At 35.9% G+C, this 24,686-nt stretch overlaps 1 protein-coding gene across 12 annotated transcripts in view; it reads left to right on the forward strand.

Annotated features, from left to right (window-relative positions):
- SMC5 (structural maintenance of chromosomes 5) overlaps positions 1 to 24,686 on the forward strand; it is a 95,896-nt gene that overhangs the window by 39,372 nt on the left and 31,838 nt on the right. For 8 of the 12 annotated variants that reach the window (NM_015110.4, XM_005251837.3, XM_005251838.3 and 5 more), the window contains 6 exons: positions 1,697 to 1,851; positions 6,898 to 7,011; positions 16,393 to 16,487; positions 17,097 to 17,229; positions 20,165 to 20,338; positions 20,445 to 20,614. In NM_015110.4, the coding sequence (NP_055925.2) occupies positions 1,697 to 1,851; positions 6,898 to 7,011; positions 16,393 to 16,487; positions 17,097 to 17,229; positions 20,165 to 20,338; positions 20,445 to 20,614 (841 nt within the window). The remainder of the gene's footprint in view (positions 1 to 1,696; positions 1,852 to 6,897; positions 7,012 to 16,392; positions 16,488 to 17,096; positions 17,230 to 20,164; positions 20,339 to 20,444; positions 20,615 to 24,686) is intronic. The other 4 variants (XM_005251839.3, XM_047423034.1, XM_047423035.1 and 1 more) reach the window with 1 other exon arrangement.

A 24,686-nucleotide genomic window follows, 5' to 3' on the forward strand; every position in this document is an offset into this window, starting at 1 on the left:
GTTCTTCCAACTTCATACCTTAATTATCTATATCTGTCGTGTACTGTAATTTGCCATTATAGCTGACCACTGTCTTCTATCAGATTATGGCACTTGATTTAATAATTCTCTATAAATGCCTAGCTTTATTTTCTTTACAAAGTCACTCACTATTACTCATATCAAATTTAAGCTCTTTATTCTAGCCTTTGTAACCTTCTGTTAGCTTAGTTCCTTGAAACCTGTCCAATTTCATCTTTGGTTTTCTTTTTTTGTAGACCATGTGAATAGATCTGTGGTATTATTTGGATAGGGATTTTATATTCTGTCTGCTCAATATATATGACTAAGATCAGTTTAAAAAAATTTTATATGTTTATCAAAGTATTAGATGTGTATGGCTAACAAAAAAAAAAAAGAAGAAGAACTAGAAGGATAGAAGGGTGGCACAACTCCTTTTTTACCTCCAAAGCCAACCAAGAGTAAGCACTTTTAACTCTTTAAGAAGATTTTTTCTAGTAATCCTTCCATATATATCATATTCTTATTTCACTATTGCTTGATTAATCAACTTTAGACATTATCTTTTTGTATTTACTCTAGATGTAGATTTTACCTTATAAAACATCTCTATTATAAATTCTTCAAATGGGATTATTAATAATGATTTTTATTATTATAAATAATATACATATCCTTTTTTGGTCATTTAACAATTGTCAGTATTGCTTCAGTCCACACTTCATAAGCTACAAATAGTACTCCCTCGCACCCTTGCTTTTTACTTTCCTCCCTTCTCACATTCTAAATTCTCTCATTTATACTCCGGTTTTTATATTTTCAAGGCCGAAAACATTTAGTGTTTTATGTGCTTTATTTATGGGTTAATTCTAGAAGTTTAGAAATACTAAGTATTGTTTATTAAACTTACTCATAGCTGAACCAAGTTGTGCATTATAATTAAATTTCACTTCATTGATAGCTTTTAAAAAGCTTTTAATTTTTTTTTTTAAATTTGCTTAAGCATTTTCTTAAATTGAAGAGGGAAAAAAAAAGCTGTCTTATCGGGCATTCTCCTGAGTCCCATAGCCTTCTGTCCTTCTCCTTCCATCTAAACTGGTTGTTCTTGAGGCCTCCTGCATGGTTATCATTTGTAATTTCTCTCGTGCCTTTTCTGTGTTATAAACCTATTCCTGAATTCCATGTCTCATTTTCTTACATCACGCCCTTATTTTGTTGGAGTACATTTTCAGGTAAACTTCTAAGAAGAGATATTTAGGAATTAACTTCAGAGTCTTTGCACCCTTTAAAATATTCTTATTTCATCATCCCCCCCCCTTTTTTAGTTTTGTTGTATATACAATTCTAGAATGAAAATATTAATTTTTCTTCCAGAATTTTGAAGGCCTATTGCTGTTTGTCTTTTGATAGGAAATCTAGTGTTTTCCTTGTGGGTTTTTTTGTTTGTTTGTTTGTTTGTTTGTTTTTGTAGGTTACCTGTTTTTTATATTTGATAGTTTCAGGATCTTATGTTTTCCCAGGTTTTTGGACATTTTAGAAAGATTTGTTCAGGTCACATATTTTCCACTATGGGAGTTACTTGCTGAGTGGTGTTTGTAACCTTTAGAACTAGGGTATTCTTTTGTGTTATTATTAGATTATTTCACTAATTAAAATTTTCAGAGAAACAAGACTTTGTTTTGTTTTACAATTTTAGGTGTGGACGATCATATTGTACGTTTTGACAATCTTATGAATCAGAAGGAAGATAAGCTAAGACAGAGATTCCGTGACACGTATGATGCTGTTTTATGGCTAAGAAATAACAGAGACAAATTTAAACAAAGAGTCTGTGAGCCCATAATGCTCACGGTAAGAAACTTTGTTCATCTTGGTAGTATTGGTTTTATTATTGTAATCATAGATTTTTGTTTTAAGACATTTTAGTCCCAATATTACCCTGGTTTTACATTATCAGACTTGTGGCATCTGGCATACTGCTGAATCTATACATGAGCTTTTTAAAGGTCCCCTGATCAATGAGGGTAATAACTGTCATAAAACCTGTGCTTTTTTCTAGAAAGAGGTATAAAACTGGCAACTTATTGACCTAGAATCATGTAGAAAATTAGTTTGGTTAGCTGGTTCCTTTTGGCGCTTGTTACTAGATTGTAGCAGGGATTAGATTAAAACCCTGCTGAAGAGGTAGAATGCTGCTGTAAATAGGTTGATTAAAGGAAAAAAACTAAGAGAATAGGCAAGAAAATCACCTGCTACAAAGAACGGGCATTCTTAGGATTTTGAAAGTGAAACCAATACCTTATTGACATCATAAAATTTTGATAGCTTTTGTTGATGATTGCGGGTCATCAAGATTAGGTGAAGCTATATTTAATAAATCGTCTAGTGAAGTGTGGCCATGGATTTACTAAGATGTTTGCCATCCAGACTGTTTAAAATAGTAAGTTTTGGGCACATAAAAGGATGAAAGAGTAAAAAACTAACATTCTTTGGTAATGATATGTTAGAGCAAACTTAAAGTTATCCTAAGATTACATAAGGATTATTTTTGCTAGATAATTTTTTTTCTTTAGAAAAGAAGACATCCTTTCAGGATTCGTGAAAAATTCTATTCTCTGTAACTCATGTTTGTGTTATACTTTATTAAAAATCATTTTATATAGTTTTCAATTTTTTACCATATCTTAAATTAGCAAAGTTAATATTCATAACATTCTCTTATTCACATATGTGTTATTAGAATATTTTTGCTAGATCAAGAAGAGAATTTCTATTTTAGATGCATTGTTTTGATTAGTCTGATGAGGATTGAAAGAAAGTATAAGAAAAAATATTGTGACCCTTATAAAAGTTATAATGCAGGTGTAATTGTTAACATTTTTACTAAAATGCCAGTGTCAGAATAATACTTCAGAACTGTATTAGATTTGTCTCCTCTTGTCATTTGGTTTTCTAATAGTAGCATATATCACCAAGTCAGATTAATAGCTGGCATATATTTCCATTTTAAATTGCATTCGAATCTTTGAGATAAAGAGATATATTCTGCTTTTTTACCCTTTTCAGACTAACCTTTCACCTTTCCTGCCACCTTCCTACATTCACATCTTCCACGCAGTTTACTCACCTTTCTAGGTCTAGTTGAAATGCCCCTACCATCATACACAAGTGAGCAATATGCAAACTTAAAATTTTAGTCATATAAATGGTCATTTAGTAGTCTATTTCTATGATTTATTTTTAACAATTCCAATCTAGAATTGGAGAAGTGTACAAAGATTTACATATGAACTCCCCACAGTAGTGTTTATGATAGCAAAATGGTGGAGCAAAAAAAGAAAATTTATGAAGATGCTGATTGGTTAAATAAGTTACTTTATATCTTTATAATGGAATATTATGCAGCCCTTAAAATGTTTCTGTAGGTCTCTTTTTACTAATATAAAAATAAATTTATGACATGTTAGTAAATCATAAAGTAGGTTATGGAATAGGATGTATGGAAAAATTTTGTTTAAAAAATCATAAAGCAGAAAGATGCCATCAACCACCAGATCATCACAGAGTGCTGCGTCTCCTATATCTACCTATCTTTATCTTGCTACTTTGATTGTGATGATATGACTGTGAAGTTCTAGGAGGACTTTGACAAATACTTTATTCCCTGAACTCACAAACAGAGGGAACATCCCAAGAAACTGGAACCTGCATAGCCAACAAGATGTCTAAATCTTCCTTAAGGGTTGGGCACCATGGCTCACGCCTGTAATCCAGCATTTTGGGAGGCCGAGGTAGGCAGATCAGCTAACATCAAGAGTTCAAGACCAGCCTGGCTAACATGGTGAAACCTCGTCTCTACTGAAAAAATAGGTTGGGCACGGTGGCTCATGCCTGTAATCAGCACTTTGAGAGACTGAGGGGGTGGAACGAGGTCAGAAGATTGAGACCATCCTGGCCAACATGGTGAAACCCCATCTCTACTAAAAATATAAAAATTAGCTTGGCATGGTGGCACGTGCCTGTAATCCCAGCTACTCGGAGGCTGAGGCAGGAGAATCGCTTGAGCCAAGGAGTTGGAGGTTGCAGTGAGCTGAGATCACACTGCTACAATCCAGCCTGGCGACAGAGCTAGACTCCGTCTCAAGAAAAAAAAATATATATATATATATAAATTAGCTGGGCATCGTGGCATGTGCCTCTAGTCCCAGCTACTGGGAGGCTGAGGCTGGAGAATTGCTTGAACCCGGGATGTGGAGGTTGCAGTTACCCAAGATCACGCCACTGCACACCAGCCTGGGTGACAGGATGAGACTCCATCTTATAAGAATAAATAAATAAACAAACAAATAAATAAATCTTCCTTAAGGATATCAGGGAAACCTCCAAACTGTGAATGTGTATTACACTTGGGAAAAAGTGTAAATAAGTCACTACTGGAACCACATAAACTGGCCAGTGACCCTACTTGTGTGACTTCCTTGAGTCTTCCTGAGCAGGTGAAATCCGTCAAAGAATTGAATTGCCATGTAAACCAGTTTATATACTCTGGGGGCCTTGGAATCTGACATGGCAGAATATTTCTAACAAATACACCTTGGGGCCAGGCATGTTGGCTCATGCCTATAATTCCAGCATTTTGGGAGGCTGATGTGGGAGGACCACTTGAGTCCAAGAGTTTGATACCAACCTAGGCAACATAGTGAGATCCTGTCTCTACAAAAATAAAAATTAGCTGGGCATGGTGGCATGCACCTGTAGTCCTGGCAACTCAGGAGGCTGAGGTGAGAGGATTGCTTGAGCCTGGGAGGTCGAGGCTGCAGTGAGCCGTGATCACACCACTGCACTCAGCCTGGGCAACACAGAGTGAGACCCTGTCTCAAAAAATAGAAAAAAAAAAACAATACAGTCTGGGAGAACGTGATCATGAGAGCTAAGTCCTAGACTGGCTTATCTATAATTATATTTTTTTTAAAAAGATGACTTTCTGTGGTCATTTTGGGGTTACTTTTACCCTTTCTATAAGTTATCGTAAACATCCACATACGTTTTCTTTTATTTGTATCATTTCTTCCAATAAAGTAATTTAGTACCTCCCCCCTCAAATTGCGAAACAATAGGCTGATTGTTCATAGCGTTTATGCCTGGATGATGGTTTTCATGTGGTTTTAATTTTTGTGTGTAACTGTTTTCTCATTTTTCTATACTGAATGGTATTCTATAATTTAAAATAGCACTATTGGCCAACATTTATGCGACAAGCACTGTACTATTATTTTAATTATATTATCTCTTAATCCACATTTAGTTCTATGAGGTATAAACTGTTTTACTATGTCCATCTTACAGATGAAAGTAATGAAAGCTTTTGAGATTTAGGTAGTACTTGAGCAAGATCAAGCATAGGATTTGAAAGGACGTCTGTCTGACCTCAGAGCCCAAGCTCTTAGCTAGTTTGCTTTGTAATAGATTATAGTACATAAATACCTCCCCTTTATTATTTTTTCAAGAAAGCTGATTTCCATGTTTTGGAAATAATCGATCTCTAAAATTCCCTAGATAGTACTTTTTATATTTATACGCTTCTCTTAATGGGAGTTTTATCATGCTCTACTTTCAACATAGTTATTCATCTGCAATAAATAACAGATTATGTACTTCCAGAAGTAGCTTTTTCCCTAGCTTGTCTTAGTATCTTCCATAGCATTGAGCCTCACTTGCAGAATTGTCTAATTCATATTTTTACTTTATTTTACTTTTTAGAGACAGTTTCACTCTGTCACCCAGGATGGAGTGCAGTGTCACCATCATACCTCACTGTAACTTCAAACTCCTGGGCTTAAGCGATATTCCCACCTCAGCCTCCCAGGTAGAGCCATCACACCTGGCTAATTTTTTATTATTATTATTATTGTAGAGACAGGGTCTCACTTTGTTTCCTGGGCTGGTCTCAAACTTCTGGCTTCCAGTGTTATCCTCTCATCTTGGCCTCCCAAAGTGTTGGGGTTATCAGTGCTACCACGCCTGGCCCAGTTAATGTTTTTAAAATAGATCAATAGGTCGGGCACAGTGACTCATGCTTATAATCCTAGCACTTTGGGAGGCCAAGGCAAGCCGATCACTTGAGGTCAGGAGTTCGAGACCAGCCTGGCCAACATGATTAAACCCTGTCTCTACTAAAAATACAAAAATTAGCTGGGCATGGTGACAGATGCCTGTAGTCCCAGCTACTCAGGAGGCTGAGGCGCAGGAATTGCTTGAACCCGGGAGGCAGAGGTTGCAGTGAGCTGAGATCGTGCCATTGCACTCCAGCCTCAGTGACAGAGAGAGACTGTCTCAAAAAAATAAAAAAGAGAAAAGTAAAAATAGATCAATAAGATTATGTTCTGATGTTGCAAACTTCAGGCTTCTCTTGAGGGCTGTAATAGTTACAAATAAGCCATAGCAAGGTTTTTTTTTTTCCCCATTAGTTTTATAAAGTTTAAAGTTCTTTGTGTTTTTGTGCCTATTAGTTATTCCATCTGTGAAGTTCTCTTGAAGATTAAGAAAATATGAAAAGTGTGGGGAAAGATAAGAAATGTTTACACTCAAGTCACAATCTAAGACTGTTTGAAATATTTTCAATGAGTTGACTAGAAAGGAACTAAAGTTATTTCTTAGATAGTATCAAAATCAATATGCACTGTTCAAATCTTGGCCTTTGTTTAACCATGTACTGTATTGATTGTTTCTGGGTAATGGATTAGATGTTTTAAAATAACTCTTTGGTACCAAGTTCTTTTTTTTTATCTTGTTTTTTCTCAAGTATTACAATCTAATTAAATCCAATTTTAATATAAACATGTTTTAATAATCAGTTGGGTTTCATGAAATTCGACCTTTTTTTGCTTGTTTGTTTAGATCAATATGAAAGATAATAAAAATGCCAAATATATTGAAAATCATATTCCATCAAATGACTTAAGAGCCTTTGTATTTGAAAGTCAAGAAGATATGGAGGTTTTCCTCAAAGAGGCAAGTACTAACCAACACAACACTTTGATTCACTTGACACTTACTTTCAGCACTTGAAGTTTTAAATTCACTAGAGCAAAATGTGATAGCTAATTTTACCACCAGTTCACTCTCATGCAAAATCACTCTGTTTTGCTAATTTCTTTCCTATTTATGGCATTGTGGGTCAATTTATTTGCTTTATAAAAGGAAACCAGCCCATAATATTCCATCTGTAACATTTTGAAATTATCATTTGAAATTAATGTGAAGAGTAAGTAATTTTATCATGTTTTAAGAAAACAAAACATAATGATGGACCTTTGGTCTTGGACATCCTTTTTTTGAAAATGTATTGGAATGAACTCAGTTTTACTTTGAAAGGAAAATCAGTACACTGTTGCTTATTAATATAAATAAAACGTCTTTAAAAAGAATGAGAACCCTGTATCTGGCTAGAGAAAGGCCACTAAGAATCTAAGCCACCGAAAGACAGTAAAGCTTAGTAGTTAAGAATGTATACTTTGTAGCTGGGCTGCCAGGATTTGAATTCTGGCATTGCTTCTGACTTGGGCAAGTTGCCTAAATTTAGTTTTATGCTTCAGTTTTCTTGTCTATAAAATGAAGGGTAACATTATCTACTTCAAAAGATGGTTGTAAGGATTAAGTCAGTTAATAAATGTGAAGGTACTTATAGCAGTACTTATTAACTCATCATTATCGTAATACATTGTTATATAACCTACATAATATGTAGTATAATGTATTAGCTATATATGACATTCTTATATATATACGGTTAGCTATATGTTGTATTGTCTGTAAGACTTCTTACTCCTTTTGCATGTCTTCTATTTCTTTAAAAGCCTTATAAGGAAAGGTTAGGTTTAGATTTTTTTTGTATGCCTTGTTTAAAGAATTTTTTTAATTGGTCTAAGTGAGGAGAGATTCTGAATCAGCTCAAGTGGTCCTCTGTTTCTCTGGTACACAAGTGCTTGGAAAGAATCTTGACCCTGCTTTGGCTTTTATTATATTGCCCTACTTCTGGTTTGGGAGTTGGCAAGGTATGTGAACATAAAGGTGACTGGATAAAAAGGTTGGATGTATAAAATTATACAATGGACTCCAAAAAGTTAAAAATTTGTGTTTGTTAGAGCTGTTTAAGCCTAATCAGTGATTTATTGATCTGATGAAAGAGCTCAGTGGAGAAGTCAAGTTGCTTGGGTTGCACGTCTTTTAAGACATGATACATTGTAAAGGGCATGCAGTCAGATGTAATTAAATGATTTCTATTTTTCAAATGGCCAGCTTAGCCTGTTACTTTTCCTGGTGTCAAAAACTCATTCTGCCTCTGCACTAAGGATTTAAACCATATATTGATGATACAATATAGATTCCTGATCATTTGACCTGTATTCTTTTTTCTTGTGTTGTAACAATTTTTCATAGCTGCTCATCAGATAGAACCAGAACTTTCTCCTATATCTGTGACTTTTTGTGTGTATATTTTAAATTGTGAAATTTATTCTATATAACCTTCTCCTGTAATTGTATCTACTAGAGTACCATTTCTCATCCTTCAGTAAATTACAAATCTTCACAATTTTTGCCATTTCTACATACTATTATGTGCAACATCATAATTTTTGCCAAACCTGAGTACTACCTATAGTATTATTTCTTGTTTTTCTTTCAATCACCTCACTTTTTGTTACTCAAACAAAATCTTCTAAAAGGAAATACATCATTACAAAGTTAAAAACAAATAATAGGCCAGGCATGGTGGTTCATGCCTCTAATCCCAGCACTTTAGGAGGCCAAGGCAGACAGATCACTTGAGGTCAGAAGTTCGAGACCAGCCTGGCCAATGTGGTGAAACCCTGTCTCTGCTACACATACAAAAATTAACCGGGTGGGGTGGTGTGCACTATTTTTTCTCTTTGTAATTGTTTGTGTGGAGATACTTTGAGATTGCAGATATTCTGTTCCTCATGAAACCCAATCTAGTAGGTTTAAGAGCCATTAATGATTCTAGCTCTGTCATTCCTTCTGTGTTTATTAGTTAGCATTCTACCTATAAGAAAGAGCTTTTTCTTCTCCTCCATTTATTTGTTTGTTGTATCAGTATAGATTCATAGAATTGTTTTATGTATTTTAATTCATTACTTTTTTTTTTTGAGACAGAGTTTTGCTCTTGTTGTTGCCCAGGCTGGAGTGCAATGGCACGCTCTTGGCTCACTGCAACCTCCGCTTCCCAGGTTCAAGCAATTCCCCTGCCTCAGCTTCTCGAGTAGCTGGGATTACAGGCGTCCACCACCGTGCCCGGCTAATTTTTTGTATTTTTAGTAGAGACGGGGTTTCACCATGTTGACCAGGCTGCTCTCGAACTCCTGACCTCAAGTGATCCGCCCGCCTTGGCCTCCCAAAGTGCTGGGATTACAGACGTGAACCACCACGCCCGGTCAATTCATTACTATTTTAATGCTCAGATTGCCCCATATTTGGCCAGTGAGACCATTTTCAGGTTGACTCCTGTGTCATTTTGATATGTTGCCATTGTATTTTGAGCACTTCTTTCTTTTTGCCATAGTAAGATGTTACAGGCACATCTTGAGTGTATCTTTTTGGGCCTTACAATCAGTCCTTTAACCAAAAATCCTATTTTCTTTTAGACACCGAGCTCTGGATACTAGGTGTGTTCATTGCTGCTGGTATCTCATTGCTTCTGAGTCCTAACATGCAAACCCTTATGTCTGTATTTATTTCCATATTTATCTAGAGACCAGATAATATGTGCACCATGAATTCACACTACTACTTACAATTGCAGTCCAGCTTTGGGGTACCTTCTAGTCTTTCTCCTTTGCATATTTGTAATTCTCTTCTGTATTAGTGAAAAACATAGCTCCCCTTACCATCAGTATATTTAGTAATTTGTTCAAGCCTAGAACCCTCTGAAAATAGTTTAAGAATTACTAATCTGTGGCCGGGCGCGGTGGCTCACGCTCGTAATCCCAGCACTTTGGGAGGCTGAGGGGGGCGGATCACGAGGTCAGGAGTTTGAGACCACGGTGAAACCCTGTGTCTACTAAAAATACAAAAAATTAGCCGGGCGTGGTGGCAGGGCGCCTGTAGTCCCAGCTACTTGGAGAGGCTGAGGCAGGAGAATGACATGAACCCTGGAGGCAGAGCTTGCAGTGAGCCAAGATCACGCCACTGCACTCCAGCCTGGGCGACAGAGACTCTGTCTCAAAAAAAAAAAAAAAAAAAAAAAAAAAAAGAATTACTAATCTGTCCTACCATGAAATTCCTCTATCCCACCGTGCCTCTATTAATGTCTCTCAACATTTTTTCTTTTTCATTGTATTAAGTTTTACACATCTCTTGTTAAATGTGTATTTCACTGTCTAATTTTAAAATATATTTTTTACACTATCATAAATGGATTTCTAAAATGCATTTTCTGGTTGTACATTGCTAGTACGTAGACATATCGATTTTTTTAAACATTGACCTTATATCCTGTGACACTATTGAATTTACATTGAATTCTAGTACAGACATACAAGAAATATAACAGATTTATAAAGCAAATATTGCCATAAAGCAAGTCATACAAACTTTTTGGCTTCCCAGTATATATAAAAGTTAAGTTTATACTATTTATATCTATTAAGTGTGAATAGCATTATGTCTAAAAAATGTACATACTTTAAAAACACTTTCTTGCTAAAAAATACGAACAATCATGTGAGCCTTCAGTGAGTTCAATCTTGTTGGTAGTGGAGGATTTTGCTTCCATATTGATAGCTGCTGACTGATCAAGGTGGTAGTTGCTGAAGGTTGGGGTGGCAGTGGCAGTTTCTTAAAGAAGACAACAATAAAATTTACCACATTGATCAACTCTTCCTTTCACAAAAGATTTCTCTGTAGCATATGATAGCATTTTACCCATAGCAGAATTTCTTTTTCCTTTTCCTTTTTTTTTTTTTTTTTTTTTTTTTTTTTTTGGGGACAGGGTCTTCCTCTGTCTCGCAGACTAGAGTGGAATGGCCTCGCAAAAGTGCTGGAATTATAGGCATGAGCCACCGCGCCCAGCCTAGAACTTCTTTCAAAATTGGAGTTGGTCCTTTCAAACCCTGCCTCTACTTTATCACCTAAATTTATGTCATATTCTAAATCATTTGTTGTAATTTCAGCAGTGTTCCCAGCATCTTCACCAGGAGTAGGGTCCATCTCAAGAAACCATTTTCTTTGCTCATCCATAAGAAGCTACTCCTCCTCCATTCAAGTTTTATCATGAGATTGCAGCAATTCAGTTACATCTTTGGGCTCCACTTCCAATTCTAGTTCTCTTGCTTTTCCACCACATCTGCCATTACTTCTTCCACAGAAGTCGAACCTCTCAAAGTCTTCCCTGAAGGCTGGAATTCTTTCAAACTTCTGTTAATGTTGATATCTTGAGACCTCCTCCCATGAATCAAAAATGTTCTTAATGACATGTAGAATGATGAATCTTTTTTAGGGGGAGACAGGGTCTTGCTCTGTTACCCAGGCTGGAGTGCAGTGGCACAATCTTGGCTCACTGCAACCTCCACCTCCTGGGTATAAGCAATTCTGCCTCAGCCTCCTGAGTAGCTGGGATTACAGGTATGCGCCACCATGCCCAGCTGATTTTTGCATTTTTTAGTAGAGATGGCATTTCACCATGTTGGCCAGGCTGGCCTCAAACTCCTGACCTCAGGTGATCTGCCCACCTCAGCCTCCCAAAGTGCTGGGATTACAGGTGTAAGCCACCACACCTGGCCGATGAATCTTTTTTAGAAGGCTTTTTGTTTACTTTGCCCAGATTCATCAGAGGAGTCATTATCTGTGGCAGCCATACATAGTGTTATGAAATGTGTTTCTTGATAAGACTTGAAAGTCAAAATTACTCCTTGATCCATGGGCTGCAGATTGGATGTTGTGTTTGCAGGCATGAAAACAACATTAATCTGCATGTACATCTCCATCAGAGCTCTTGGGTGACTAGGTACATTGTCAGTGAGCAGTAATATTTGGACAGATGTCTTTTTTTTCTGAGGAGTAGGTCTCAACAGTGGGCTTAAAATACTCAGTAAACCATGCTGTAAATAGATGTGCTGTCATCCAGGCTTTGTTGTTCAACTTACAGAGCACGGGCAGAGTAGATTTAGCATAATTCTAAAGGGCCCTAGGATTTTTTGGAATGGTTAAATAAACATTGGCTTCAACTTAAAAGTCAGTAGATACATTCATCCCTAACAAGAGTCAGCTTTCCTTTGAAGTTTTGAATCCAGTCATTGATTTCTTTTCTCTAGTTATGAAAGTCCTAGATGGCATTCTTTTCCAATAGAAGGCTGTTGGTTCTGCGTTGAAAATCTGTCATTTAGTGTAGCCACCTTCATCAGTGATCTTAGCTAGATCTTCTGGATAACTTGCTGCAGCTTCTACATCAGCATTTGCTGTTTCACCTTGCACTTTTATGTTATGGAAATGACTTCTTCCCTTAAACATGATGAACCAACCTCTGCTAGCTTCAAGCTTTTCTTCTCTCACCTCTTTCAGCCATCAAATAATTGAAAAGAGTTAGGGCTTGCTCTGGATTAGGATTTGGCTTAAAGGGATGTTGTGGCTGCTTTGATCATCTATTCAGACCACTAAAACTTTCTTCAGATCAGCAATAAGGTAATTTTGCTTTCTTATTTGTGTGTACACTGGAGTAGCACTTCTAATTTCCTTCAAGAACTCTTCCTTTGCATTCACATCTTGGCTAGCTTTCAGCCTAGCTCAACTTTTGTCATGCCTTCCTCACTAAGCTTTATTTTTAGCTTTTGATTTAAAGTGAAAAACCTGTGACTCTTCTTTTCACCTGAACACTTAGAGGCTATTGTAGGGTTATTAATTGTTCTGATTTCATTATTGTCGTGTGTCAGGGAATAGGGACACCCAAGGAGAGGGAGAGTGACTGGAGAACAGATGGTCAGTGGAGCAGTCAGAACATATGCAGCATGTATCGATTAAGTTCACTATCTTACCTAGGTGTGGTATGTGGCACTCCAATGACAATGGTAGTATCAAAGATCATAGATCACTAACATATACAACAATAATAAACAAGTTGGGAGAATTACCAAAATATGACACAGAGACACAACGAGATGAGCACAAGCTATTGGAAAAATGGCATTTTAGACTTTTTTTGACATAGGGTTGCTGCAAACCTTGAATGTGTTTTAAAAAATTGTTTTTAAACCAGTCAAATTTAGCAGTGGGGGGTTGTATACCAACTTTAATGACACTATGTTAGTAACTTCTGATTACCCACTACCATTTGACCAGCCAAAAAAAAAAAAAAATGTTTTTTAATGCAGTATCTTTGAAGGTCAGTAAAGCAAAGCACAATAAAATGAGGTATGCCTATAGTTACTTTGTAGAGTCCATAGGACTTTCTATGTAGAAAGTCCTGTCTTTTGCAGATAGGCCGTTTTACTTTCTTTTTTTTCCCAATCTTTTCTTTCTTGTGCATTATTACATTTACTCATACCTCCAGGACAATGTTGAAGAGAAATGATGTATTAGTCCATTTTCACACTGCTATAAAGAACTGCCTGTATTAGCCTAGCATGGTGGCGGACACCTGTAATCCCAGCTATGCAAGAGGCTGAGACGAGAATCTCTTGAACCTGGGAGGCGGAGGTTGCAACGAGCTGAGATCGCGCCACTGCACTCCAGCCTGGGTGACAGAGTGAGACACTGTCTCAAAAAAAAAAAAAAAAAAAAAAAAAAAACTTCCTGAGACTAGGTAATTTGTAAGCAAAAGAGATTTAATTGACTCACAGTTCTGCATGGCTGAGGAGGCCTCAGGAAGCTTATACAATCATGGCGGAAGGCAAAGAAGAAGTAAGGCACATCTTACATGGCAGCAGGAGAGAGAGAGTGGGCAGGGAACTGCAACAGACTTTTAAACCATCAGATTGTGTGAGAACTCACTATCACGAAACAGCATGGGGGAAACCGCCCCCATGATCCAGTCACCTCCCACCAGGTCCCTCCCTCAGCAAGTGGGGATTGTACTTTGGAATGAGATTTGGGTGGGAACACAGAGCCAAACTATATCAAATGACAAGATTGGACACCCTTACTTGTTTCCAGCCTTAGGAGGAAAGCACTTAATGTTTCATCATTAGGTATGAGGTTTGCGTGGATTTTCCACAAATGCTCTTTATTAGGTTGAGGAAGTTCCCTCATCTACCTATTTTACTGAGAATTTTTATTGTAAATGGATGTCAAGTTTTTTCAGATGGTTTCCTGCATCTACTAAGATGATAATATGGGTTTTGCACTTTATTCTGTTAATATGATAAGTTAGATCAGTTGATTTTTGACTGTTACATCAGTCTGGCATTCCTGGCATAAACTCCGCTTGGTCATGTATACTGTTCATACATTGCTGGATTCTGTTTACCAATATTTTACAAAGGATTTTTGCTTTTGTATTCCTGAGGGATATTGGTTTATAGACTTCTTTGTAATGTTTTTGTCAAGAGTTTGGTATAAGAGTTATGTTGGTATCATAAAAGGACTTGGGAAGTGTTTCATCCTTCTGTTTATTGCTTCCTTAACTGTTTTATCAAATTTATCAGTGAAAACATCTTAGTATAGACTTTTCTTCATTAGAATTTTTATAGTAAATTGAGTTTCTCTACTACATATAAAGGCTATTTCAGCTTCTTTTTCATCTTGTTTTAAATTTGGCAAATTGTGTTTTTAAGAAATTTTTCCAATTCATCTAAGTTATTCATGTTTTTGGCATGAAGTTTTTTGTGATATTATCTTTTTAATGTTTTGGGATCTTCCATCAGTAAGCCCATCAGTGAATTTTTCATTTCAGATAATGCATATTTTAGTTCTAGAATTTTCATTTAATTCTCTTTATTCTGTCTGCTGAGATTCTCCACCTGTTGATAGTAATAAACCATAGTTTTCTTGAACGTGTGTATATATAATAGCTACGTTAAACTTCTTTGCTAATTCTAACATCTAGGTCTTTGTGGAATCAGTTCCTCTTAGTTGCTTTTTCTCTTGACTATGGTGGCATTTTATTCTTATGCTTAGTAGTTGTTTTTTTTGTTTTGTTTTGTTTTTGTTTTTGTTTTGAGACAGTTTCGCTCTTGTCACCCAGGCTGGAGTGCAATGGCATGATCTTGGCTAACTGCAACCGCTGCCTCCTGAGTTCAAGCAATTCTCCTGCCTCAACCTCCCAAGTAGCTGAGATTACAGGAGCCCCACACCATACCCAGCTAATTTTTTTGTATTTTTAGTAGAGACGGGCTTTCACCATGTTGGTCGGGCTGGTCTTGAACTCCTGACCTCAGTTGATCCGCCCGTCTCGGCCTCCCAAAGTGCTGCGATTACAGGTGTAAGCCACAGTGCCCAGCCAGTAATTTTTTTATTATATTCTGGAATCGTGGGTAATAACATTGTAGAGACTGGATTCAATTATCAATTATCTTCTTCCAAAGAGACTAGAAGGCAGTTAACTTAGCTGGATTTAAACTCCAAACTCTGTCTCTCAAGCAATGGACAGCAACTGAAATCTCCATTCAGTGGGGATTGTTGTTGTTTTAGTTTTAGCCTTCCACTTGTTGCTTTCCTCCAATCCCCTGGAATTTTCCTGTGCACTCATAGTTCATGGGGCAGCCAAGGATTTAGATGGGCGTTTATATGCAGATTTTGAGGCTTCTCACTTTGCAGCTCCCTTCTTCCAAGAATTTACCCTCTCAGTTTACAGTCATTCTAGTCACCCCAAACTCCATCCTTCCATCTTATGATCCCTCCAGCCAGAAAGACTGCAGCTTTCTACCAGAATTCTTTCCCCACTCCTGATGCTCCAGATTGGGGAATGCCCCCAAGCCACAAGCCACATAAACACAAATCTCACCTAGTGCTATTCTTTCAGATGTCAACTCCCTTCCAACTTCTTTCTTTTGTCCATCTCCAGTGCCTTAAGATAATTGTTTTTAAAATTTTGGCCAGAGTTTACAATCATTGTTTGTAGAAAAGTTAGTCCAATACAAGATAATCTGCCAATAATGTAAGCATAACTATCTCCCTTCTGTATCATTTTGAAGTAATTCCCAGACATTCTGTTTCACCTGAAAATATTTTGGTATGTATCTCTAAAAGAAGTGGACTCTTTTTATAAAAACACATAACTACAGTATTATCACAGTAAAAAAATTTATACTAAGTAACATCTAATATGCCGTGTTCGAGTTTCTTATCCATCCCACGAATGCCAGTAGGAGTATGGTAACTATAAATCATTTCAGTAGAGAATATATGGTAATTAAAATAATATTTTCTTTTCCCTATATTCAGGTTCGTGACAATAAAAAATTAAGAGTAAATGCTGTTATTGCTCCCAAGAGTTCATATGCAGACAAAGCACCTTCAAGATCTTTGAATGAACTTAAGTAAGTCTTGAAAATACTAAGATTTATTTAAATATTGAATTATTCAACATTTATTGTTACATAAATAAGCTATTACAAGCTGTATTATTTCCTTTTAAGATCTCTTAAGTCGAATATAAGGAAAAATTTAGGCACAGGACCATGATATAGTTAGCACACAGTGAGTGTGATGCGATGTGATGTTTCAAGTCTGCAGAATAATATTGAACTATTTAATAAAAGATGCTAAAGTAGTGGGTTAGTTATTGGGAAAATGAAATGATAAATTATCCCTTCATAATGCAGAAACAATTTCCAAAAGGACTAAATGTAAAAAATGTTAATTATAAAATAATTATAAGTAAATATCTTAATTTGGAATATAAGTAAGCATTCTAAACATAATAGAAGAAATTTAAAAAGAGTAGTTTGTAATCATAAAAAGCTTAAGCTTTTCTGGTAAGTGAATAAGTCATATGTGATTTTAAAATATAAAAGAAAAAAGACTTGTCCTGTGTCATTGTTGAAATAATGTATGTTTTACTTATTGTTTATTGGTGGCTTATCAACTCCCAGATTTTTTTAATGATATTTTAAGAAGAAAAATCTAATCAATACTTTTCCTTTCAGACAATACGGATTTTTCTCTTATTTGAGAGAATTATTTGATGCACCTGATCCTGTAATGAGTTACCTTTGCTGTCAGTATCATATTCATGAAGTTCCTGTAGGAACTGAAAAGACCAGAGAAAGAATTGAACGGGTAGGAAAGTAGTGAATCATGTACTGAATCATGTACCAAAAATGTAGTTTTGTTAAAACTTCTTAGCTAAAGGCAAGCAAAACGTGTCAGAATTTAAGTAAGTCTGTTGTTTTTAACCATGCAGAAATTATATTTGTATTAATTATTTTCCATATGACATGAAACATTGACTGTTAACTAATACATTGTGAGAGGAGTGATGTGGAATTAACTAGAATAAATACTTAATACATTTAGGGTAATTCCATAAAGTTAAAACCTGAAAAGAGATACCTAGTACACTAACCTGATTCTGCCTTGCTTGGTAAATCTATGTTCAAACATTGTATTAATAGTTTAGTCTTTTAAATTATTATATTTGAGATTATTTTTAAGACAAATTATACTTTAGAATGGTAGGCTGGGGTATAAAACTGTTTTTGGTCAGCCTTCCTTTTATTAAAACTTGTACTTAAGATTATCTCAGATATGAATGACCACTTCTCATAGGATTTGTTTGGCTAGTACATACAGCCAAAGAAACTCCTAGTTTCTGTATTCTGCTAATGCTGTTGGGAATTTTATTCTTTAAAGCAATCTCTGTGACTCCAAACCGTATGCACTTTTATCACAGGCAGAAACAGAGAGGAAATCTCTCCTGCAACAGGTTTTTCCAGTATTAATACCAAGTTGCTGTATTACTGCTTATGAGCATCTGGTAACTGATTATAGACCTACCTGCTACTTATAATATTTATTAAAAAATATGTTTTACATTTCTAACCAGTATATAAATATTCCTAAGATGATTCATTTGGGGGCTCACTATACTTCATTAACAGAAGATAGAAAAATGAGAGCTCATTACCAACTCATTTTGCAAAAACAAGTTACTTAACAGTAACTTGATTAGAATTATATCATATTATGGTAATCATTTGGGAAAACCAAAAGTAGAAGTCTCTATGTGGGTATACTACTCTTTTTTCTTAATTCACTGAGGTTTAGAAAAGAGGACAAGACCATATGCATAGACCAAACCAATTTTTGTCAAAGCTTTAGGGGTAGGTAGGGTTCTCTCTGAAAGTAAGATTAGTGGGACTTCTTTACTAATTCAGAAAGACAATAGAAAGGTTGATAAGGACTTTTTAAACTTCACTTTGGGGCAGAAAGGAGCAATTACTTCATTTGGAAATTTCTTTTTTGAACATGGTCATGTACTTTTACTTTTAACATTTTGTTTAAGTCACCTAGGGAGCTTTGACACTGCTGTTTGTACTAGAGAAATAGCTTTGGAATTCATATAATTTATATTAAAAGTGAAATTCTTTTCTTCCCATTTCTTTTTCAGGTGTTTTCATTAATCTTAATCTCTTTGGTTTTATATACTATATTTTTTAAATTCTCAAACATATCAAATACCTTACTGTCCCAATGCCTAACTCAGTTCTATGTTGTATATAAATAATTTATGATGATATACTTTTCAGACATCTGTATGTACAAGAAAACCCAAGTTAGAAAGTATTTCAAGTACCTAGTAAAGATTATCTTAGCTATCTTTCAGAAGATATAAACCTTTATTGAGGAAATTTACTACCTTTATATCCTCAATCCTTCTGTTTGAGACAATAATGGCTAGATAATGGCAATAATGGCTGTATCTCTTCCTCAGAATAAAAGTATACTCTTTATGTTTTCTTTTATTATTAACTCTTAACATTTTAGGTTATCTAACAGTATATCCTATTTATGGAATTGTTCTCTCATTAATTTCTAAGATTCTCCCTTTGGTTAAATTGTCTGCTGACTTCTTTAGCTTGAGATGTCACTTTTATGGGAAGTGCTCTTCCTTCACTCTGTCAGTTCAAATCCAGTTTAAAACTCATTTTTAGGAAACTTGGGTAGGCTAAAGTCATCCAGTCTATCCCTTTTTTTCAGATTAGTCGGATTGTAGGATTTATGCCCTGTTGACCTAGTGTGCTTAAATATGTCTTACTTCTTCACTTAGACTATAAACTTCTGGAAGGAAACAAGCTACAGTAGTATTACAATAGTATCTGAAGGTTTTTAGAGATTGGAAACAACCTCTAAAAATGCTCTGCATTGCAGCAGCCTACTCTATAAATATACAGAAATAGATCAAATAGTGGTATGGTTGTGGTATTTATAATATATTTTAGTTTATGAAATCCATGTATAAATTCTTCAGAGAAAAGTTCTAAAAAACTTTAAAAATAAGAAAAGGCTTTGAAATCTATGAAAAATGTTTCATTTGATTATTCTTCCCAAATATACAGGAACTAAATATAAGATTATGTATCTTTGAACAGTATAACTGAGAGGAGGGGAGAGTAAATGACTTACCCAAGATAACAGTTCAATGTGCTGAGCACTCTTCTCTCCTGCTATCTCTTCTTTAGATGTAACAAAGCTCCAAAACTACTTGGGAGAGTTGTATAGTAGCGTAGAAGTATAGCTGACTTTGCTAGTTGTATGGGCCGCCTTTTTTGAAATTTTGTTGGATAGGTTAAAAAAAAAATTGCTAGATGCAGTGGCTCACATCTGTAATCCCAGCACTTTGGAAGACCCAGGCGGGAGAATCTCAGAGGCAGGAATTCAAGACCAGCGCCCCCATAGGAAGCATGGAAAAACTCCATCTCTACAAAAATTTTTTTTAATTAACCAGGCGTGGTGGCACATGCCTGTAGTCCCATCTACTCAGGAGGCTGAAGTGGAAGGATCACTTGAGCCTGGGGGGTTGAGGCTGGAGTAAGCTGAGTTCGTGCCACTGCATTCCAGCCTGGGTGACAGAGTGAGACCCTGTCTAAAAAAAAAAAATGTATATCTCGTATATTTTGATCTTCCAAAATTCACTTGGTCTGTATTTCTAATTTAGTACTTTAAAACATATAATTTATATTAGATGTGCACTAATAGTTGTTTTACGTTATAGGTAATACAAGAAACCCGATTAAAACAGATTTATACAGCAGAAGAAAAGTATGTGGTGAAAACTTCTTTTTATTCAAACAAAGTTATTTCTAGTAACACATCTCTAAAAGTAGCGCAGTTTCTCACTGTCACTGTGGACCTAGAGCAGAGAAGACACTTAGAAGAACAGCTAAAGGTTGGTTAATTTGATCTGAATGTTAGAAAAGAATATTAACTGGATTTCTAATAGTTTCACTGGAACAGTTTTTTAAATATGTTAACAATTTTTAAATATTTTATAGGAAATTCATAGAAAATTGCAAGCAGTGGATTCAGGGTTGATTGCCTTACGTGAAACAAGCAAACATCTGGAGCACAAAGACAATGAACTTAGACAAAAGAAGAAGGAGCTTCTTGAGAGAAAAACCAAGAAAAGACAACTGGAACAAAAAATCAGTTCCAAACTAGGAAGGTATCTTTTAGCCTATTCAGGGGGGAGAGCACAAATTACTGTATGGGAGAATATTAATTATACACTGTAATAACAACAGCATTTCCACAAGCACGCTTTGTAGTAATTTCTCTTTAATCTTTAATCTTACTGCATAAAACACAATTTTATTCCATAGGGCAAAAGGAGATGAATCTTGAGTGTTGCAAGTTCTTCTGTTCTTCCAGTCTCTGGACTCCTTTATATGCTTAAAAATTAATGAGGACCTTGAAGAGGTTTTGTTTACATGGATTGTATTTATTGATATTTACCATATTAGAAATTAAAACTGAGAATGTTTAAAATATTCATTAATTTATTTTTTTTTAGGTGGAGATGGGGCAGTAATTCATTTTAAAAATAAACCCATTATGTGTTAACATAAAAATGTATTAAAAATAGCTGTTTTCCAGACAAAATACATTTAGTGAGAAGAGTGGCGTTTTACATTTTTGCAGATTTCTTTAGTTGAAGTCAGTAGGTTTTTCCCTACTTAATTCTGTATATTGAGTTTGTAGTGAGATGTTTGAGTTGAAGTATATGAAGGAAATCTGGCTTCCCATAAATATGCAGTTGGAAAAGGAGGAGTATTTTAGACTTTTCAGGTAATTGTGGATATTATTCTTTAATACTACATCAAAATTTGCCAAAGTGTAGTTTATTAAAGTTTAATTGCAGTGTGGAATCTGAAACCATATCAGTGAACTTGTGTACTCTGTTACATTAAAATCCATTGCACTTTAGATGGCGCTTTTACTTGTAAATGATTTAGTTATAGCATGCATTGGTCATTGGGAGAATACTGGTTCATCAAGTCACATAGATATTTCAAACGTTGACATATTTTATTATGTAATATTTTTAAAAGATCACATTGATCACTGATTCCATCAGAAAAGCTGTTAAGAATTGGGAAGCTGTCAAGCTTGCCAGTGGATACAGATTTTCTAAAATTCAAATTTTCATTTGAAAGTTTGAACTTTATCATTGGCAACAAATATTGTCAGTTATTTTCCTTGAAATGACAAGCTCACTTTATTCCTGTTTGGAAAAAGAAAAATGACCAAATAGCCAAGTCCAGATAATTATAGTTTGTCATTTTTTTAAATAAAAATGGTATTCCATGAAAAAAATGTCTAGTATAACTCCAAACTTAGTCACACAAGTGCTTTTCCTTGAAACAACATTTATACTTTTGAATATACTACAAATATTTAATAAGCACAGCCTGCCCTCCATATTCGTGGGTTGCACATCCATGGATTCAACCAACCACAGATCAAAAATATTCAAGAGGCCAGGTGCAGTGTCTCATACTTGTAACCCCAACACTTTGTGAGGCCAAGGCGGAAGGATCACTTGAGTCCAGGAGTTTGAGACCAGCCTGGGCAACATGGCAAGACCTCATCTCTTTAGGCAGGGCAGGGAGGAGGGAAGAAAGAAAAATATTCAGGGGGACAAAAATGGATGGTTATGTCTGTATGGAACACATACAGACTTTTTTCTTGTCATTATTCCTTAAGCAATACAATATAACAACTATTTACATAGCATTTATGTTGTATTAGGTATTATAACTAATCTAGAGATAATATAAAATATATGGGAGGATGTTCATAGGCCATATGCAAATACTACATCATTTTATATAAGGGACTTAAGCATCTGTGGATTTTGGAATCCTTAGGGAGTCCTGCAACCAATGTCTGATGGATACTGGGGGACAACTATATTATGTACTTCCTATGTCATGACATTGAATATTAAAAATATATATACTTAAGATTTTGAGGTTTAATAAAATTTATGAATTTTACTGCTTCATCAAGGATATTCTTAAGGGAATTTGGCATTTTTAAAAATTTCAATTGCATGGCAGTGAAGAATCTAAGAACTAGTATACTTTGGTGCACTAGTTTTGGTACACTACCTTGATTTATTCTAAAGCACTAGCATTTTTACTTTCCATTGCTTTTACACCGTCAGTGCAAATGACAGCATGGTGAGAAAGGCAAATGATGTCCTGTTACCACCATGAAAATAGTTTTTAACTCACAGACTCCTGAAATAGTTTCAGGTATCCCCAGGAGTCTGTAGACCGGACTTTGAGAACCACTGCCCTACATGATTATCCAAAACAATATGTCCCTTGAGTTCTGAATGGTAGGAGAGGAGAGGGGAAGGCAGAAAAATTGTCAAACTAGGCTGTTTTTTCTCTAGTTCTGAAAGAGAGTAATAGGGAAGGAGGAGGTTATATTGAGTTTCACAGAATAGATTGGGCACCTGAGGGTTTATCTCACTCATTTAGTTGCAGTCTTCCTTGTGACAATTAGAATTATGTCTGCTTGGCCTTAATGGGTCATATATTCCACAGAATTCTGTACAAAATGTAAATATAATATTGTCAAATGTCTTTTTTTTTTTTTTTTGAGACGGGGTCTTGCTCTGTTACCCAGGCTGGAGTGCAGTGGCATGCTCACAGCTCACTACAGCTTTGAACTCTTGGGCTCAAGCAATCCTCACGCCTCAGCCTCCTGAGTGGCTGGGACCACAGGTGTGCACCACTATGCCCAGCTTTTTTGTAGAGATGGGGTCTTGCTATGTTGCTGGGGCTGGTCTCGAACACCAGACCTCAATCAGTCCTCCCGCCTCAGCCTCCCAAAGTGCTAGGATTACAGGCATGAGCCACCACACCCAGCCAAAAGTCTTTTCTAAACAGAAAACTGCTGATTTATTGTGAAAACCCAGTCACCCATTCTCAGAACGATTGTAACTTTTATTTTGAATTTAGATCTTTTGTAGAAACCAGAATATATAAGGTGGGATAAAAGCTATTAGGGTTTCAAGTCTGGGGAAAAGGCACACGGTTTCCAGTTTCAAGGTTTTTTCCATATCCTACCATAACACAGCCCACAGCTTTTTGTTGTTGTTGTTGTTCTGACTTCTCGTCTATAGACTAAAGATAGATATTAGTGACATAATCTTTAATAATAAGTAACAGCTCATTGTCTTGAATAAGGTATGTTTACCTTGACTTAATATCGTTTGTATTTCTAAACACATTTATAAATTGAATCATATTTGAAATGTATTAGGAAGATTTGTTCTTTGTTGTTTATGTTTTTTTAAAGCAAACAATTGCCCATTAACTTCTATTTTTAAAATTGGTAATGTGCCTTGGTTGTTTAAAGCAAGATATATCTATTTAGTCTAGCTTCCTAGAATTTGTTTCAACTTTAAACCTTTCTTTAAACTTTTAACCCTTTCCTTCATTCCTATTCAATCTTCTGCAAAACGCTCAACCTTTATTGCGCAATTGCTGTATTGAACCCATTGTCTAAAACTAAACTTTCTCCTCGTAAAGTAATGTTGATTTTTCACAGTGAGATGACTTTTCATACGTGTTACTAGCCTACTATCTCCTACTTCTGTTCACTTTGGACTACTGCAGTGGTGACCTAGTTAGTGGTCTCTGCCTGACTAGTCACTTCTGTATTTAATTCATCCAAAAGACTGTTGCAAAATTTATTTTCTTTGCATGTTCCTACCCCATTCAAGAATATTCATTATGAGGCCAGGTGCGGTGGCTCACGCCTGTAATCCCAGCACTTTGGGAGGCCGAGGTGCGTGGATCACTTGAGGTCAGGAGTTTGAGACCAGCCTGGCCAACATGATGAAACCCTGTCTCTACTAAAAATACAAAAATTATCCGGGCATGGCGGTGGGCGCCTGTAATCCCAGCTTCTCGGGAGGCTGAGGCAGGAGAATTGCTTGAGCTGGGAAGTGGAAGTTGCAGTGAGCTGAGATTGTGCTGCTGCACTCCAGCCTAGGCAAAAGAATAAGACTCCTATCTCAAACAAACAAAAAAAAATTATGGCTTTCTACAGTTGCTACATGAAATTTAATTAAACACTACTCTCCTTTAGGCAAGCTTTTATGATTCTTCAAAATGTTATTTCGCTTTACCCATTCCAACTTATCTCCCTCCCCTCCCCAACATACTCGTCCTTGTACCATTCTGGCCACTCTCTACAGCACCCGCTGAATTTGTTTG

The sequence above is a fragment of the Homo sapiens genome, chromosome 9 (assembly GCF_000001405.40).
Source record: "Homo sapiens chromosome 9, GRCh38.p14 Primary Assembly".
Taxonomy (NCBI): domain Eukaryota; kingdom Metazoa; phylum Chordata; class Mammalia; order Primates; family Hominidae; genus Homo; species Homo sapiens.